At 36.5% G+C, this 18,819-nt stretch overlaps 2 long non-coding RNA genes across 2 annotated transcripts in view; one reads left to right on the forward strand and one right to left on the reverse strand.

Annotated features, from left to right (window-relative positions):
- KCNJ8-AS1 (KCNJ8 antisense RNA 1) overlaps positions 1-18,819 on the forward strand; it is a 166,949-nt gene that overhangs the window by 54,673 nt on the left and 93,457 nt on the right. The window lies entirely within an intron of this gene.
- Positions 8,626-18,819, reverse strand: part of LOC102724261 (uncharacterized) — a 32,260-nt gene continuing 22,066 nt past the window's right edge. Inside the window, exon 3 of the long non-coding RNA XR_429056.4 lies at positions 8,626-10,271. This is a non-coding gene — a long non-coding RNA (uncharacterized LOC102724261). The remainder of the gene's footprint in view (positions 10,272-18,819) is intronic.

The raw sequence follows: 18,819 nt of genomic DNA on the forward strand, positions 1-18,819 counted from the left end.
GGTGCATGTGAGAACTACATAGAGAATGCTATCTAGCTAGGTTTAGAGTTTTTCCAGAGGACTACGATGGAGGGGAAAATGGGCTAAGAGTCAAGAGTGTATGTAAGGGAGTGTTTACACTGGTGACTTCTAGAATCTAATCTGGATAAGAAGCAGGTGAGAATATGACTTGGGTAAGGCACAGTAAAAAGGTGATAGAATAATAGGAGGAGGTCCAAAGTCAAGTAATTTTTTGAGTAAGGGACAAGATAAATGATCTAGAAAGATATGATGTGGTGGCTGGAGAGAGGCCTGATTGAACTTGAGGTTGGGAATAATGCAGTTATTGGTAAAACATACAGAGATATGTTTTGAGAGGTGACTTTGGTAGAGTGAAAGATAACCACAGTTCAAAAGAGGAGTCAAGAATCTGAAAGGATAAAATGTTGAAAGGATTATGTGCCTGGACATGGAAATCGCCAAGAATTATGGCAGTAATCGCTCTGGAGTTACCACTGCTAACATCTTCAAAGAATAGGAGGAAGGTCTTGGAGGTCCTCAGATGACTGGAATAAGCAGGGATGGTGAGTAATATAGTCTGATAGCAGGAGCTGGGGAGTTTTGGAGATTCAGTCCAAGAGAAGTCTAAACAATTACTAGGACAGTGGTAACCAAATTTTGCTGTACATTAGAATAATCTGAGGAGCTTTAAAACACCTGGCATTCCAGTTCACAGCCCATACCAACTAAATCAGAATTTCTGGGGAGGTAGAAGCAGGATTCGAATAGTGTAAGATCCCTAGATGATTTCAACATCAGCAAAGTTTGGGAACCACTGCCACAGAGTCCACCTTATACATTTTGATGAACCGTTTGGTGAGAATTAAAGCAGGACAAATTAATTTGCTGAAGGAAAGATTTATTCTGAAACCAACTCTCTGTAAATGGGGTGCAGGAAATGAAAACATCGAGAACAATAACAAAAACAGCTGTTGGAAATCAACCGGAAATGGCGAGGTTATTACGATAAGAAAGTTCACAATTTGAGAATTTGAGGGGGTGCTTTAGTTTAGATGATAACTTTAATAGCCATGTGGCCTTGCTCCAGGTACTTAACTTTATCTTTAGTCTCTTTATTTTAAAAAAGAGATCAAAATATATACCTTTCAAATACTGACAGAATGTGAATGTCCACAGTGCCCTTAATAAATGTAAATTCTTCCAATGAAAACATTTTTGTACCTTCCCCACAAATGTTTATATAATGTTCCTTTGTTACATAATTTTTATATACTTTTTCATATATTTGTATATAATTTTTATGTTATATATAATTTATACAAAAAAATCACAAGACAACAAGTGATGTGCCTGGTGTGTAACAGTTTGTCAGTCTGAAGTCAGGTTCATTGCTCTTCCCTTAAAACCATTGTATGACAAAATATGACCATATCAAGCTCCTTGTCTTCTCTTGCCTTGTGAGAGGATTATAAATAATATCTTTGGAGAAAGGAGAGGGGAAATTGGTTATTGCTCACCTTCTAGATTCATTCTGGGAAGGCTGTACTGTTGCATGATTAAAATCACAATGTAGAGTGAGTCAGACATGGTTCTGAATTTTAATTGTATTGCTTTTAATCTAACTTCTCTGAATCTCTTGTTGGAGCTGTTGAGAGCATATATGTGCCAACCGTATAAATTAGTAAGTGGCTCATAGTGTGTGTGTGTGTTCAATGAATTGTTGCTGTCACTATTTATTTATAGCCACTTTAATTGAGGCCATTTACAGTTTTGCAAGTTAGTAATACCATTAAGAGCACTAAAAGTAGTGTGTGAAAAAATATAAACATTCTTAATATTTAAAAAATTCGGTATTTGATGATTTCTGAAAGTTTTTCTTACACTTTGTTTACTCAGGACATAAAGATTTCAAGGGAACTTATTTAATTTCCTCTGATAAAGTGTCTGGCAGGAAGTTGAAAAAATGGAAAAGATGAATTGCTTCATAAGTGCTCAAAGTTAAGACATGAATATCACTATGACAGAGACCTGTCTACGGAAATGGTATTTTTAAAATGAGATAATGACCTATTGTCCCTTTTTATAATTTGCTAAATGTGAATTTGCTGAAGAGTAATCACAGAGATCCAGTTGTGTTGGATTCCAGAAGCAGCCTTTCAGTGGTGATGAGCCAATGGCAACATACTGCAGTGCTCACAGGAAATCACTGCTTTATGGATGAAAAAAGTCCTCCAGAAGTATCTTTAATAGCAATGGTATTATTTTACAAAAAGCTATTAAACTGTCTACATGAGAAAGAGGCCTTCACTCCAAAGGTCTATTTAGTTCCTTTCACTTTTATTTTTCTGGCTATTATATAATAAGCATATATAAATGCTGTTTGAAAATTTCAAGTCTTGTAAAGGCCCAGAAAATTTCAGGTCAGTTAACCCAGTTAAGCAGTCTCTTGGCGTGACTCTCTAATACTTACACATTTCCCTGGGCCATAAATTAAACAGGCCTTCACAGGAATTTATATAGCTTATTTTCGGGGTGGTCTTTGACAAATTCAGCCTGAGAAGGATATCTTCCTAGGGAAAAGGATGATTTAATGCCTTTTTAAAATTTTTTCCTAAATGAAAAGGCCTTATATTTACAAAATTACTTGGTATATATCAATACTAGCATATTCTTGGTGGATTAATGCATTGTCGTCATCAGAAAGGGGTAATGCTTGCTTGTGAAGGTCTTGTTCTGCTGAGTGTATAAAAGACCAAGAGCAGGAAGGGCTTATTTCCCTCTAAATCTAATGAAGAGTTAGTAGGAGTTTCTAACATGGCTTTGAAAGAAGACAAACTCAGCAAGATGGTCTTCACTTTAATTACAGCATATAACCTTTTAAAAATCTTGTATTAAAGAGTCATGATGGAAGAAAAAATTTAAGTTAAATATTTGCTTGTTTAAAGAATGAAGAACTTACATCTGTTTATTTTTTGCAGCATTTCAAGTCCTATTCTTTTTAACTTATGTATTAATGGTGGGATATTTGGCAAGTTACCTTAACACTTTGAGATATTAGTCTTTTTGGAGTTAACTATAAAGACTAAATGAAATAATGTGGATAAAATGCCTAGTACTTAATAGTCACTCAACAAGTGCTTATTCCTCATCACTAAATATAGGCCTTGTAGGATTCACCATGACTAGAAGAGCACAGGCACCTTGCTGAATCAGTTTGCTCACTTTATTTGACATATAATCTGCTTATCCCATTTCTTTTTCAAAAAGCTATACTTAAGATGGAAAGCTGAGGTCTTCTTCACTGAAGGTGGATTTTCCCTCTAGATTCCTGCTCATCTAATGGTGGGAACTTTTTCTAATCTATTATGTGTGCTGCATGATAGATGAAACATAAAAAAATTAAATAGGTAAAAATACTTAATGTTAATCCTATGCCACTAGGATACACACTGGGCTTCACCCTGGCTCCTAATTGGAACCATTGGAAGGGCTTTTTAAAAAATACAGACTTAAAAGTATATTTTTAAAGGTCTGCAAGTGTTTTTGTTGCTGAAAAAAAATGGTTTAAAACGTAAACCTAACAGACAAAAAGTGTGAGTAATAAATCAAGGATATTATACCCACAGGAAAAATTTTATTATGCTTGCAAAAAGCAAATGGAGGCTGGGCACGGTGGCTCACGCCTGTAATCCCAGCACTTTGGGAGGCGAGGCGGGTGGATCACCTGAGGTCAGGAGTTCAAGAACAGCCTGACTGACATGGCAATAGTCCATTTCAACTAAAAATACAAAAATTAGCCAGGCATGGTGGTGCATGCCTGTAGTCCCAGTTACTTGGGAGGCTGAGACAGGAGAATCGTTTGAACCCAGGAGGCGGAGGTTAAAGTGAGCCAAGATTGTGTCAATGCACTCTCGCCTGGACAACAGAGTGAGACTCCATCTCAAAAAAACAAACAAACAACAACAACAACAAAAACAAAAAAACCCCAAATGGAATGCGTTTTAGATGTATATTTGTGCCTTCTCTGAAGTCATTTGCATGTGTGAAGTTATTTGCAGGAATCCTGCCTTTAACAGAGCATTTTACAGACAGACACAGATTGACTTAGAGTCCTTCTGCACCACCTCCACAGTAGAGTAGGGAGGGGGTGAGTTTTAAAATCCCCAAATGTAAGATATTAGACTTGCTGAATATTAAAAATAGCATATTTATGTAAAAAATCACATGTACTGAGAACTCAGTTGTTGATGAATATTGTAAAATATGTAAAGTTTTACTTATACTCTTAAAATCTGGCAGTTATAAAAGTTAGTGTTCTCACAGTAAACAAATGACACATCTAGATTAGGATAATTTCAAGATGGTTTAATAATGGATCTATTTACATGGGTATGGGCAGGGTGTATAGGAACCACAGAGGATGGTGTAGTCATGTGGCTAGTGTCAGCAGAGCTGTTATCATCCTTTCTCCCAAAAGAACGAGGGGAAGAATTGGTTACTAGAGTGGAAAAGAAGAGCTGCCTGCACACAGCCACCTTGAAAGAATTAGTGACCTTAGGCCAAGGGACACAGCCAATTCAAGGTGACCACACAGGGAGGGAGGCAGCAGGGGAATGTACACTCTGAACTCACTCTTCTGTCTCCCTCCAGTCTCCTATAATAGCTCTCCATTGGCCAAACCTAAGAAGAAGTCAGTACAAGGAGGTAGACTGGGGCCAAGAAGGGGGAGCAGAGAGAAGATATCCAGTAGAGGAGCAGAGGTGGAGAAGTGGAGGTCTTGAAAAGATTAATATCTCTTGATAACACTGTTGATTTATCAAACATATACTGAGTATTTATTATTTGTCAAGTTCTATTACTTGTCATTGAGAGGACAACAATTAATGGCACCAAGTCCCTAGAATAAAGGAGCTCACATGTTACGTGGCAAGAGTCACAAGCACATGCAAGAGTGAAAATTTTATGTAAGTGAAAGGTTAAACTTCCAAACAAATGACAAAAGTTTTGAAGAAGGATTTCAGTAACTGCTTTCAAAAGAGTATTTTCCTGCAAAGATTCCCTAAAGATAACAGGAAATCCACTTCCAGGAAGAACATTGAATCTGATGGGTATAAAGGGAGAAAAAACAATATCAGGATGTTACATCAAGACCTGAGAGGAAGGAGTGAAATTGACAAAAGTGTTCAGTTAAGGAAATTTCTACACACAAAAAAATTCAATCACATATATTTCTTTAAAAAGCTATTTGTAACAAGTTTGTCATGTCTTTTATAGATATATAGAAAACTTTGTAAAGGTTATGTTGGGAATTAATCATAAAAAAGTGTTCCTCATCAAGCAGCCATCGTGCTTCTCCTTCCTCTCCCCTTGTCCTCTTCCTTTCTTCTCTCTCCTTCCAGATTTTCCCCCAGAAACTTCCATTATTTCCTTCTATCATTGTTAATCTAGTAAAAAGTACTTTAGCAAATATGTTTACTTCGGAAAGTTTAGTTGTTCTCAAATGTTAGCATTATCACGATCACCTAGAGGATTTGTTAAAACAGATTTCCAGGGGCTGAGAATTTTTATTGTTAAGTTCTCAGATGACACTGATGTTGTAAGTCTGGGTACCACACTTTGAGAACCATGGCTGTAAGTTACAACACAACACATCTCTGATGACCACTTTAATTATCAGGTGATTTAATTCCTCTATTGATGTCACAAGAGCAGGTGCAGAAAACTCCAGTAACTTTGAGAAAGAACGTTTCTTTTCACAAGACTGAATTTTATCCTCTACCCTGGCCATTTTGAAAATGTTTCATCAGGACATGGCCCTTTTTTGATTAGGACTTACATAAAACCAAATCATAACATATTCCTTGATTTAATTAGTTTTATGAGAATCAAGGGAAGATAGTGATAATCTGGAGATCATTACATGATTTTTAATATTAGTCTGCCACTTGATAGTACTGACTAATACTTGATATAACTCTTTATTTTACTATTTAGAAAAACATCTTGAAAGCAAGTGTTGAACATTAAATAGCTAGCAAAAGCTACCAAAAATGTCTCTCAGTGTTCAGGTTACTCTTGGATTTATTGTATTTTATTTAGGAAGTACTTAAACATTCCTAGCATATGCAGAGTACTTTCTTCTTCTGGAAAGCATAAAAAAATTAGTGGAAGAAACAAATATACAAAAGAGAGTGAACAAAGGGCAGAAAGGGAAAACATTGCATTTTTGGTGAAGTATGGCAACAGCTGGCATCAGAGTGCCAAGCTCAACATTAATTCTTTATTTTGTGCAATATTTAAGTCTTTGGTTGATGGTGTTTGGGATGTAAGAGTTGAACAGATGGAGGAGAATGGACCCCAAGATAAGGTGAGTTCTCCTGTGTCAGCTACTAGTAAGACTATCTACAAGTAACAGAATATCCAGTCAAAAATAGCTTAAATAAGTAAAGACTTCTAGGCAAACCCCATTTTACTGCACTCTGCTTTATTGAGCTTCACAGACTTTTTTTTTTTTTTTTTTCAAATTGAAGTTTGTGACCACCCTGCATCAAGCAAGTCAATTGGTGCCATTTTCCTGAAAGCAGGTTCTCTCTTTGTCTCTGGGCCACATTTTGGCAATTCTCACAATATTTCTTTTCTTTTTTTTTTTTTTTTTTTTGAGACGGTGTCGCTCTGTTGCCAGGCTGGAGTGCAGTGGCGCAGTTTCGGCTCACTGCAACCTCCACCTCCTGGGTTCAAGCGATTCTCCTGCCTCAGCCTCCCTGGTAGCTGGGATTACAGGCATGTGCCACCACACCTGGCTAATTTTTGTATTTTTAGTAGAGATGGGGTTTCACCATGTTGGCCAGGCTGGTCTTGAACTCCTGACCTCGTGATCCGCCCACCTTGGCCTCCCAAAGTGCTGGGATTACAGGCGTAAGCCACCACTCCTGGCCAATTCTCACAATATTTCAAACTTTTTCATTAGTATATTTGTTATGGTGGTCTGTGATCAGTGATATTTTGATGTCACTATTGTAATTGTCTGGGAGTGTCACGAACTTCACCTATGAAAGACAGTGACTCTTGTTAGGGGCTAGTGCAGCTGTTGACTTTAATTTAAAGTCAATGCTCATTGGCTATTCTGAAAATTCTTTAAGAATTATGCTAAATGGGCTGGACGTGGTGGCTGATGCCTGTAATCCTAGCACTTTGGGAGCCTGAGGCGGGTGGCCTCACCTGGGGTCAGGAGTTTGAGACCAGCCTGACCAACATGGTGAAACCTCGTCTCTACTAAAAATGCAAAAATTAGCCGGGTGTGGTGGCAGGTGCCTGTAATACCAGCTGCTTGGGAGGCTGATGCACGAGAATTGCTTGAACCTGGGAGGCGGAGGTTGCAGTGAGCCGAGATTGTGCCACTGCACTCCAGCCTGGGGGACAGAGTGAGACTCCATCTCAAAAAAAAAAAAAAAAAAAAAAAAAGATTTATGCTAAATGGACTCAGCTTGTGCTCTATAAAAAGAACAAAACCTGAATGACAGCCCATCTGTTTATAGCATGGTTTACTGAATATTTCAAGCCCACTGTTGAGACATACTGCTCTGAGAAAAATATTGCTGCTCATTGACAACACACCTGATCACCCAAGAGCTCTGATGAAGATGTACAAAGAGATGAATGTTGTTTTCATTCCTGCTAACACAACATCCATTCTGAAGTCCATGGATCCAGGAATCAATCTGGCTTGCTGGTTTCTAGTTGTATTACTTAAGAAATGCACTTTGTAAGGTTATCATTGCCATAAATACTGATTTCTCTGATGGAGCTGGGCAAAGTTAATGAAAAATCTTCTGAAAAATATTCACAATTGTAGATGTCATTAAGAACATTCATGCTTCATGGGAACAAGTGAAAATATCAACATTAATATGAGTTTGGAAGAAGTTGATTCCAACCCTAATGGATGACTTCGAGAGGTTCAAGACTTCAGTGGAGGAAGTCACTGTAGGTGACTTAGGAGGAAATAGCAAAATAACTAGAATTAGCAGTGGAGCCTGAAGATGTGACTAAATTGCTACAATCTCATGATAAAACTTGAACAGACGAGGAGTTATTTCATATGGATGAGCAAAGAGTGGTTTCTTGAGATAGCATCTACTCTTGATGAAGACAACGTGAACATTGTTGAAATGACAACAAACGATTTAGAAGATTAAATAAACTGAGTTGAAAAAGCGGTGGGGTTTGAGAGGATTGACTCTAATTTTGAAAGAAGTTCTAGGCTGGTTTCAGTGATTCATGTCTAATCCGAGCACTTTGGGAGGCTGGGGCAGGATGATCGCTTGAGGCCAGGCATTGGAGATTAGCTTGGGCAACATAGTGAGACCCTGTTGCTATTAAATCAAACAGCACCCCATGCTATAGAGAAATCTTTCATGAAGAGTCAATCAATATGGCAAACTTCATTGCTGTCTTATTTTGTGACGTTGCCACAGCCACCCCAACCTTCAGCAACCACCACCTTGATCAGTCAGCAGCTGTCAACATCAAGGTAAGACCCTCAACAAGCAAAAAGATTATGACTTGCTGTAAGCTTAGATGATCATTAGCAATAAAGTATTTAAAATTAAGGTATATACACTATTTATTTAGACGTAATGCTATTGCACACTTAGTAGACTACAGTATACTGTAAATGTAACTTTTATAGGTACTAGGAATCCAAAAAATGTGTAACTGGCTGTATTGCAATACTCAGTCTATTGCAGTGGTTTGGAAGGGAACGTGTGATAACTCCAAGGTATGCCTATATTTTCTTTCTGTGATAAGATGTCTGAGGGTAGGCGGTCTGCTGTGGGTTCAGCAGTTCAAATTCACTGCCAAGATCTCTGTGATTTGCCTTATGGCTTTAAGATGGCGCCTGCAGTTCTACCAGCTTCTTGTCTACATTTGAGAAAGGAATAAAGGAGGGAATATTCTGGTCCAACTCGTCCCCATTTATTAGGTAAACATAGCCTTTCCCAGAATTTCTTTCAGCCTTTTATTTAAATATTATTAGTCATGTGTCACATAGCCAACTCTAGCTGGAAGGGATGATAAGAAAAATATTTAGCTAGGTACATTCCTATCTCAAATAAAATCAGACTTTTTTTTTTTTTCCCGAGAGAGGGGAGACATATAAGATTTTCTGCCTCAGGGGGCCCCTTGGGAAGCTGTTTAATATTGTCAGGCTGACACTACCAGCCCCTGCCTGATCCTGCTCTCCTATCAGGATTAATACTTAGGCATGTGGAGAATATAACAAAAATCTCAAGTTCTCGTATCCTACAGTTTAATTCTGTATCCTACAGTTTAAGCCCCACAGTTTAATCCTGCTTTGGGAACTTAAGCTATGTAACTCTGAACAAATTATTTGACATATCTGAGCTTTAATTTTCATAAAACAGGGATAATAAGATTACCTTCTTTCCCAGGTTATTGGTGATTTTAAAAGAGGCACTGTGTGTGGCACCCTTCCTTCAGGGCCTAGCATAGAGTGAACATTCAATAAATTAGAGACTTAGAGTTTTCGTCGCTGAGATCTGTCCCAGGGAAGGGAAGGAATGGATGTTTGCAGAACAGCTGCAGGAAAGGATCATGGTGAGATGCAGGAATAAATGACGGGCTAACCCACAGCTCATTACAGCCTCGCAAATTATTATAGTTGTATATATTAGCAAATTCTTTCCAGTCTTACTTTTAACCTGGGCACTGTTCACACTACTCAATTTTAGAGACTTGAATGTTTATGTGAGCCAATGTAAATGAACTATAACTCATGAAATGTACATAGAAGAGATACACTTTTGTAACATGCATGCCATAAACTGTTGAGACTCTCTGAATTGCGTTCTCTTCCTTGTGAAATATAGAAGGTGAGTTTCTAGGTAATTATAAACAATTTTCTCCTTATTCCAATTCAATTAACTTAATTGACTGCTTTATGACTGTTGCTTGATAATATGAAAAATAGGAAAAATAAGTGCTATATTTTTCCTTATATTTGTCCAGTGTAGACTAACTGATTTGTGCCAATTGTCATTATAAAATGACAGTGCCATTACTGTGGACTCTGTAGAGCTGGTCATGTAAAGAGATGTAAGTTGTGGTACCTGCACCTGCACCTGAGGCTGAAATGAAGTTCCTGGCAGGAATGCACTGCATCAGAGCTCATGGGCTGGGAGACACCTCAGGAGCAGCCTCTTAGAGTTGCTGGGAGTAGGAAGTTCATTGCTGAGCCATGGATTTAGTAACTGAAGAGAACAAAGTCAAAGTTACGTTGAGTGGGCAGGACAGGACCAAGGGATCAGATGCCCCATCCCAAGTAAATGCCACAGTGGCTTTCAGTGGTCATGGTGGCATCTGGCATTGCAGAACCAGATCACCTCTCTGGAAGATGCATCTGCTCCTCTGTTGTTTGTTGAGTGTCCCATCACCAAAAGAAGAAAAGAATGACTCTCCTCCTCTTGTCATTCCCCAAAACTCATCTTGCTTAGCCCAACACAATTTTCCTTTTCATTGAAGAAATATTGGAGATACTTGCTCTATGCCAGGCACTGTTCTAGTCAATTTGAACTTGCTCTTCCCTCTTCTTGGCATGTTTGTTCCATGGACATATGCATGGATTGCTAGTTTAAGATTCTGCTTCTTCAGATATTTGATTTCAATATCATATTCACAGTGAGGTCTTTTCTGGTCTAGATCTTTAGAGTTGCATCCTTCATTTCTCCAGCTCATTCCCTCCCCCTTCCCTACTTTGTATTCCATACCTCACACCACCTTTGAGTATATTAGGAGACTTACTCACTTGTATGTGTATTTTCTGTGTTCTCTGAATAGAAGGTAAGCATAATAAAAGTCTTTGTTTGTCTTATTTGTTTTTATTGTTTCACCTACTCTGTTTCTTTTGTATTCCCGGTGCCTATGAATCCCTGGCACATAACAAGTTTTCAAGAAGTATTTGTGGAATGAAATAAATAGAATCTAGACAAATCCCCTTGTAATCTACATTAACTCCAGTATTAAACAACCTGTGCAGGGATTATTCTGTGTGTCTGGACAATGTGTACCCTACTTTTGACCTTAGTCTTGATACTAAGGCCATTGGTAAGTAAAACCAGCTAAGCAGCACATTTTATAGAATGTGATCTTATAGGATCTTATTCTAACTATATGTAGGTATCTGTATTACATTCTCTGGGCACACACGTGGGTCTTCTTGGTTGGACATCCTGCCGTTATCTACATAAATGTTACTTCACGCTCATGGGTTTCAACAATTCCCTTTCAAAGCACTAACCTTAAACTTGCATTCACTCCTGTTAAACAGCTATGAACTTTATATAGAATTGTTCTTAAATGAAACAATTGTGTCTCTTGGAGATTTCTCCCCTAATTCTTAACCTTTTATTTCTCCAAAAACGTAAAGCAAATACTTTCCTTTCCTTGGGGTTTTACTGTAAATAATTCTGTTTCTGTTAGCTCTGGTTTTTGTTATATTTTTCTAGCATGATAAACTCATACATGCAGAAACATTATTATGTTATTTAAATAATAGATACTTGCTCACTGTTATTTTTACCAAGGCCACCTGTTTTATAGATTTCCCATATTTAATTCTTATAAAACTCTGTGTATTACCCATATTTTAGGTAAAGGAACAAAGGTCCGGAGATGTTACGTTAGTCAAAGCCTAAAAACCACCATCTAAAACCACCTAATTTCCACAGCAGTGTAACACAGAATATTTATGAATTAAACCCTAGCATAGGTTTCTAATCTCAAAGCTGACTATTGTTTAATACTTTTAGCACTCTTTGGAAGGGTGACAACAATAAAAATATTTGAAGTTTCTTGAGCATGGGTGACATTTACATCCATATGATTGCATATAAAAATGTGCCCTTAAATAAAAAACAGAAAATTAATCTAACTGGCTTACTCTTTTTATTTATTGAAAGACCAGTGATCATGAAGGCAAGAAAGAATGAAAAAATGGGTGATAGTAAATGTATGCACACAAAGAAGGTATGAACATTAAGCGTAATTTGCTTTTCATAACATCAGCATGTGATAAAATGTTTTATAAATGCTGCTGCAAAAAATACTCATTCTCATGATTGTTAAATGTCACAAATTTGCTTTTTAAAATTCAGTCAGGTAGCTAATTCTGGGGCTAGATTAATAACACGCATTGACAATCTTTATGATGATTATTTCTGGCATCTCTTAATTTTTTATTGCTAATAAAGTAAATCAACACCCAAATTCATTCCTGTGAAATTCACACAATTTTCTTAGCTGTTATGATTTATTATTTCAATGTTTGTGTGTCTGGCTTAAATTGTGAGTTCAATGGCTACAGTCCTATTCTTTTGATGTGTTGTCTAATGCTAAGCATACTGTTGGCTCTCAGCAAACAATAAATTATTTCAGTCATAACCCCTAACATTCTTGTCTAGACAGTCTTCCATATGGTGCAATTGTTCTTGTTTCCATGTTTTCATCAATAATGGCAGAATGAATTCTGAGTTTTATATGTAGATTTTTAAAAAATCGCACCTTCTCAAAATAACCAGTATGAACTATTTTGGGAACCATATTTTATAAGAAAACATTTTTGAAAATGCTCTAATTACTTTGGAAGGTTTAAAGAGTCATTTTCATACCAATTAGATTTTACCAAATAGAGATTTTATGGTGTAGAGATCTGAAGATAAGCATTTGCTATTTCTCGCCTTTTTGGCTCTGCTTAATTATTAATTCCTGGACTACTCCTACATAATGAATTCTCCATTATGTAAACAAGAATTCAGTTTTCATTAAAGGTCACACAAATTAGTTTTGTGTAATGTTAGAATTCAGAATTATGGATTCATATTTCCTAAGGTGGGGAGCTCTGCTACCAGTAATTTATTTATTATTCATATATGTTGAAGTATATTTAAGAAGGGCTATAAGATGTAACAATATTGTTCATTAAAAGACAGATCTGAGACTGTCAAACAAGACCTGGTAACTTCAAGAGGAACAGGATTATGCATGCTATATATAGTATGTTGTCATCTGCTTAAAGATGATCCAAAACAGCAAAAAATACTGTTTATTAGAACCCAATTGGTGCCCTCAGTCATCTTTTGTATGCCTACCTCTATGTTACTTTCATATCTCCTTGTCTTTTAAAAATAGACAATATGGCTTTGAAAATGGAAATATATTGAAAATGTTTGAAACTAATGCTGTGAAACACATTCTGATGAATTCAGCTCTTGGGAAAACCTCGCTAGCATTCCCTGGTGGCTCTCATTGCTTATAACAGTGATTTTCAATAAAATATTGCCTGAATCCCCAAAATAAATGGATAAAATGATGTCAGTCTACTGGAAGAGAAACGGCCTGGATCTTCATCTATTTGTCTCTCTTTGGATTCTGCAGGGGTGCTTGAAAATCCATTGGGTTCTTTTGAAAACAATCAGCCTATTGAATGAAATCTTGGTTCGTTTATTATCTGGTCCATACCAATCTAAATAACCTAATTTTCTACTTTTCCTTTTTTTCATGCTTCAGCAACATGAATATTGTAATTTCTAGTATCCACTTTTTTTTTTTTGCGTGTTGTAAGTCAATTGCATAAGTTATTCTTGTAGACTAGAATGCCTGGTCCTTTTGATGCTTCTCTCTCTCGTAGCTCTTTGACGCACCTCTCTGAAGTTTTCCCCAATTTTCCCAACAATACTTAGAAACAACTGCATGTAGTTCCAAAATATCTTATATAAGTGTTGTGCATCTCAGCAGTTATGGAACAATTCTGTAATTGTGGATTGCATAAATGTCCTAAAGTATAACCTCCTTCAAGTTAGATTTGTATCTTTTCATCTTTCTATCTCTGTGCTTGTCTTTCTGTAAGTGATCACTAAATACATATTTAGTAAGCAAATTAACTCAAAATTTATTGACACGAATTTAAATCTATTGTTAATTTTATATGGTTATAATTGTTTACCTATGATTGTGTTTCATTCTTGGAAACTTGGCTCCTGCTGAAAACATTGTAATGAAATTTAACGTGAAAAGAAAATCATCTAGTATTGTACTGAGTGGAAGCTACTATGATAGTGGAGTACAGGTAGACTATTTTTTATCGGTTGAAGAATCCCTAATTCCAACTACCTACAGTTAAAATTTTGAAAGTTAATGTGTCGGGGGGGAAAAATCATTTTGGTGCTTCCTTGCTCACTTGGCTCTGGAAGCCAGTTCCTTTAATTCACTTAGTAAAATTTTCTTCTGCTTTAACATGAGACACTTGATTTGAAATTCAGCAGAGTACAAAAAAGATAAACAACCAAGAAAGGTCATGTGAGGATAGTAAATTTGGCTGACTACTCTGTCCTCTTCTGGAGTTTGATCAATATCTGTAGGTGAAAATAACCCTCATTAGGTTCTTGAAATGTTTATGAGCTAGTTTCAAGTTTTCTGCTTTCCTAACTTTCTGGCACTATAACTTTCTATAATTATCTAATGGCAGTTTTTGAAAATCGGATATGGGTTTTTTAAAAAAAGACTTATTTGGGCATCATATAAATACTGGAACTTTCATGATATTTATCTTCACGTGCATATAAATGAATATTGATCTCATATCACAATCATCTAGGGACTATTGAATTTTGGTTGTAAATTTAGTCTGCTGATTTTCTTCCATGTTCCTTCCTTGATGCCAGAAAAATCCTACTTGGCTCCAGTTATTCCAGAGTATTCCAACAGCTTCTTAAGATTAATAAATATCACAGACAAAGACTATAAAGACTAAGAGGGAGAACAATTAATAAATTATAACTAATATATTGTGATGAGTGTTTATTATATGAGTTAAACCCACTAATTTTGTGGAGTATTTTTACCTAACATTTTTAAGACTTATTATTGTGTCAAGACTTTTACATGATGTTTAACTCTTAGTAAATTAATTAATTTAGAATTATATTAAAACACAAAACACTTGAGATCACAATTAATTTCTATATAGTGTCCAAATATGCTACCGTATATGATCTTACAGTAATCCTGGTGGTATGACTATTATTTCTGTTCTATAGATAACATTTCTAAAAGTATGCTTAAATTTAAAAAATTTTATCCTTAGAAAGCTGAAATTGATTAGTTAACTCTGGGTTTTTATAAGAGATTTTAGAATCTGTGGTTTTATTCACATTGAGATATTCTTAGTTATTATCTCTTTAAATATTGCTTTTGACCATTTTCTCTCTTTCCTGTCTCTGTGAGACTCCATGTCTTGTTACTTATTAGATTCTTACTCTATCCTCTGTGTCTTCTACCTTCTCTTCTAGGTTTTCCCCCCATTTTTTTGTGGTTTCATTATGGATTTTTTTCTTCTGATCTCTCCTTCAATTCAGTAATTCTCTCCTCACCACTTTTTACCTGCTGCTATACCCTTTCATCATGTTATCCATTGAGTTCTAATCTGTGATTATATATTTCCATTTCCAATATGTTGCTGAAATTTTTGTCATTTTCTTGAACATAATGACTATTGTTATTTTAAAGTGCCTCTCTACTAACTCCGCTGTGTGGAGTTTTTGTGGGTTCATCTCTACTGTCTGTTGTTCCTGCTGATTTGTTCATGTCATTTTATCTACTGCTGGGTCTGATTACTATATTGTATGTCAGACTTTGCATTATAAACTGCATATTTTTTCCCAAAATTCATGTGTTGAAACTGTAATCCATAATGGATGATAATAAAAGGTGGGCCTTTGGGAGGTAATTAGGTCATAAGAATGGAGCCCAAACTGACTGAGATACCTTGTAAATTACTTATAGAAATAACTGGAGGCCTAGGATGAAATTATTTTACTCCAGGAAGGACTTACTTTTATTTCTGGTAGATGACTAGGGTTACTAGCAATGTAGGATTATATTAGTTCAATTTGAAATATTGAAAGTATTGTACCAGTACCATGCTGTTTTGGTTACTGTAATTCTGTAGTATAGTTTGAAGTCAGGTAGCATGATGCCTCCAGTTTTGTTCTTTTTGCTTAGGATTATCTTGACCATTCAAGATCATTTTTTGTTTCATGTGAATTTTAAAATAGTTTTCTTCTAGTTTTGTAAAGAACCCAAATGGTAGTTTAATAGGCATAGCATTGAATCTATAAATTGTTTTGGACAATATGGCCATTTTTATGATATTGATTCTCTCTATTCATGAACACAGAATGTTTTTCAGTTTGTGTCATCTCTGATTTCGTTGAGCAGTGTTTTATAGTTGTCCTTATAGAGATACTTCACCTCTTTAGTTAGCTGTATTCCTAGGCATTTTATTCTTTTTGTGGCAGTTGTGAATGGGATTATGTGTCTGATTTGGATCTCAGCCTGTCTCTTGTTGGTGTATAGGACTGCTAGTGATTTTTGCACACTGATTTTGTATCCTGAGACTTTGCTGAAGTCGCTTATCAGCTTAAGAAGCTTTTGGGCTGAGACTATGAGGTTTGCTAGATACAGGAATAGTTTGACTTTCTCTCTTCCTATTTGGATGCCCTTTATTTCTTTTTCTTGCCTGATTGCTCTGGCCAGGACTTCCAATGCTATGTTGAATGGGAGTGATGAGAGAGGGCATCTTTGTCTTATGCTGGTTTTCAAGGAAAATGCTTCCAGCTTTTGCCCATTCAGTATGATGTTGGCTGTTGGTTTGTCATAGAGATGGCTCTTATTATTTTGAGGTGTGTTCCTTCAACACCTAGTTTATTGAGAGTTTTAACATGAAGGGGTGTTGGATTTTAGCAAAAGCCTTCTCTGTATCTATTGAGATAATCATGTGATTTTTGTCTTTAGTTCTGTTTATGTGATGAATCACATTTATTGATTTGTGTATGTTGACCCAACTTGCATCTCAAGGACAAAGCCTACTTTATTGTGGTGGATAAGCTTTTTGATGTACTGCTGGATTCAGTTTGCCAGTATTTTGTTGAGGATTTTTGCATTGATTCATCAAGGATATTGGCCTGAAGTTTGCATTTTTTGTTGCATCTGTGAGATTTTGGTGTCAAGATGATGCTGGCCTCATAGAATGAGTTAGGCAGGAGTCCCTCCTCCTCAATTTTTTGGAATAGTTTCAATACAAATGGTAGGGACCAGCTCCTCTTTGTATATCTAGTAGAATTCAGCTGTGAATCTGTTTGGTACAAAAATAGACACACAGACCAATGGAACAGAATAGAGAACCCAGAAATAAAGCCACATGCCCACAACTATCTGATCTTCGACAAACCTAAGAAAAATGAGAAGCAGGGAAAGGATTCCCTATTCAATAAATGGTGCTGGGATAACTGGCTAGTCATATGCAGAAGACTTGAAACCAGACCCCTTTCTTACACCATATAAAAAAATTAACTCAAGATGGATAAAAGACTTATACGTAAAACCCCAAACTATAAAATCCCTGGAAGACAACATAGGATACCATTCAGGACACAGGAACAGGCAAGGATTTCATGTCAAAGACCCCCAAAGCAATTGCAGCAAAAGAAAAAATTGACAAATGGAATCTAATTAAACTACAGAGTTTCTGCATAGCAAAAGAAACTATCAAGCAAGTGAACAGAAAACCTACAGAATGGAAAAAAATTGCAAACTATACATCTGATGAGAGTCTAATATCCAGCATGTATAAGGAACTTAACAAATTTGAGAAAAAACAGACAACCCCATTAAAAAGTGGGCAAAGGACATGAACAGATGCTTCTCAAAAGAAGACATACGTGTGACCAACAATCATATGAAAAAAAGCTCAACATCACCGATTATTAGAGAAATGCAAATGAAAACCACAATGAGAAACCATCTCACACCAGTTAAAATGGCTATTAAAAAGTAAAAAAAAAAATAACAGATGCTGGCCAAGTTGTGGAGAAAAACGAATGCTTATACACTGTTGATGTGAGTGTAAATTAGTTCAACCATGGTGGAGACAGTGTGGCAATTCCTTAAAGACCTAAAAACAGAAATACCATTTGACCCAGCAATCTCATTACTGGGTATATACCCAAAGGAATGTAAATCATTCGATTACTAAGACATATGCCCATTTTTGTTCATTGCAGCATTATTCGCAATAGCAAAGACATGGAATCAGCCTAGATGCCCATCAACGACAGACTTGATAATGAAAATGTTGTACATATACACCATGGAATACTATGCAGCCATAAAAAAGAATGAGATCATTTCCTTTGCAAGGACATGGATGGAGCTGGAGGCCATTATTCTTAGCAAACTGACACAGGAACAGAAAACCAAATACTGCATGTTTTCACTTATAAATGGAGCTAACTGATGAGAACACGTGGATACATAGAGGTGAACAACACACACTAGGGCCCTTTTGAGGGTGGGAGATGGGAGGAGGGAGAGGATCAGGAAAAATAACTAAGGGGTACTAGGCTTAATGCCTGGGTGATAAAATAATCTGTACAACAAACCTCCATGACACAATTTTACCTTCGTAACAAACCTGCATGTGTACCTCTGAACTTCATATAAAAGTCAACAAAAAACGAGAAAATATTGGTAGCTAAGCTACCATCTCTAGGAGGGCCTATTTTTGGTTCATCCTTACTCCCAAAATGTTCACATAAATCCTTTTCTTTTCAGCAGGCTCTGGAGTTAATTATCTGAACCCTTATCTCCCAGAGGCTATTAAAAGTGCACTTAATTTGGGAGCCCCTGGATAGAGTTGGTGAATTTCTCCCAGGAGAAAAGTCCCTCCAAATTCTAGCTCACCTC

The sequence above is a fragment of the Homo sapiens genome, chromosome 12 (assembly GCF_000001405.40).
Source record: "Homo sapiens chromosome 12, GRCh38.p14 Primary Assembly".
Taxonomy (NCBI): domain Eukaryota; kingdom Metazoa; phylum Chordata; class Mammalia; order Primates; family Hominidae; genus Homo; species Homo sapiens.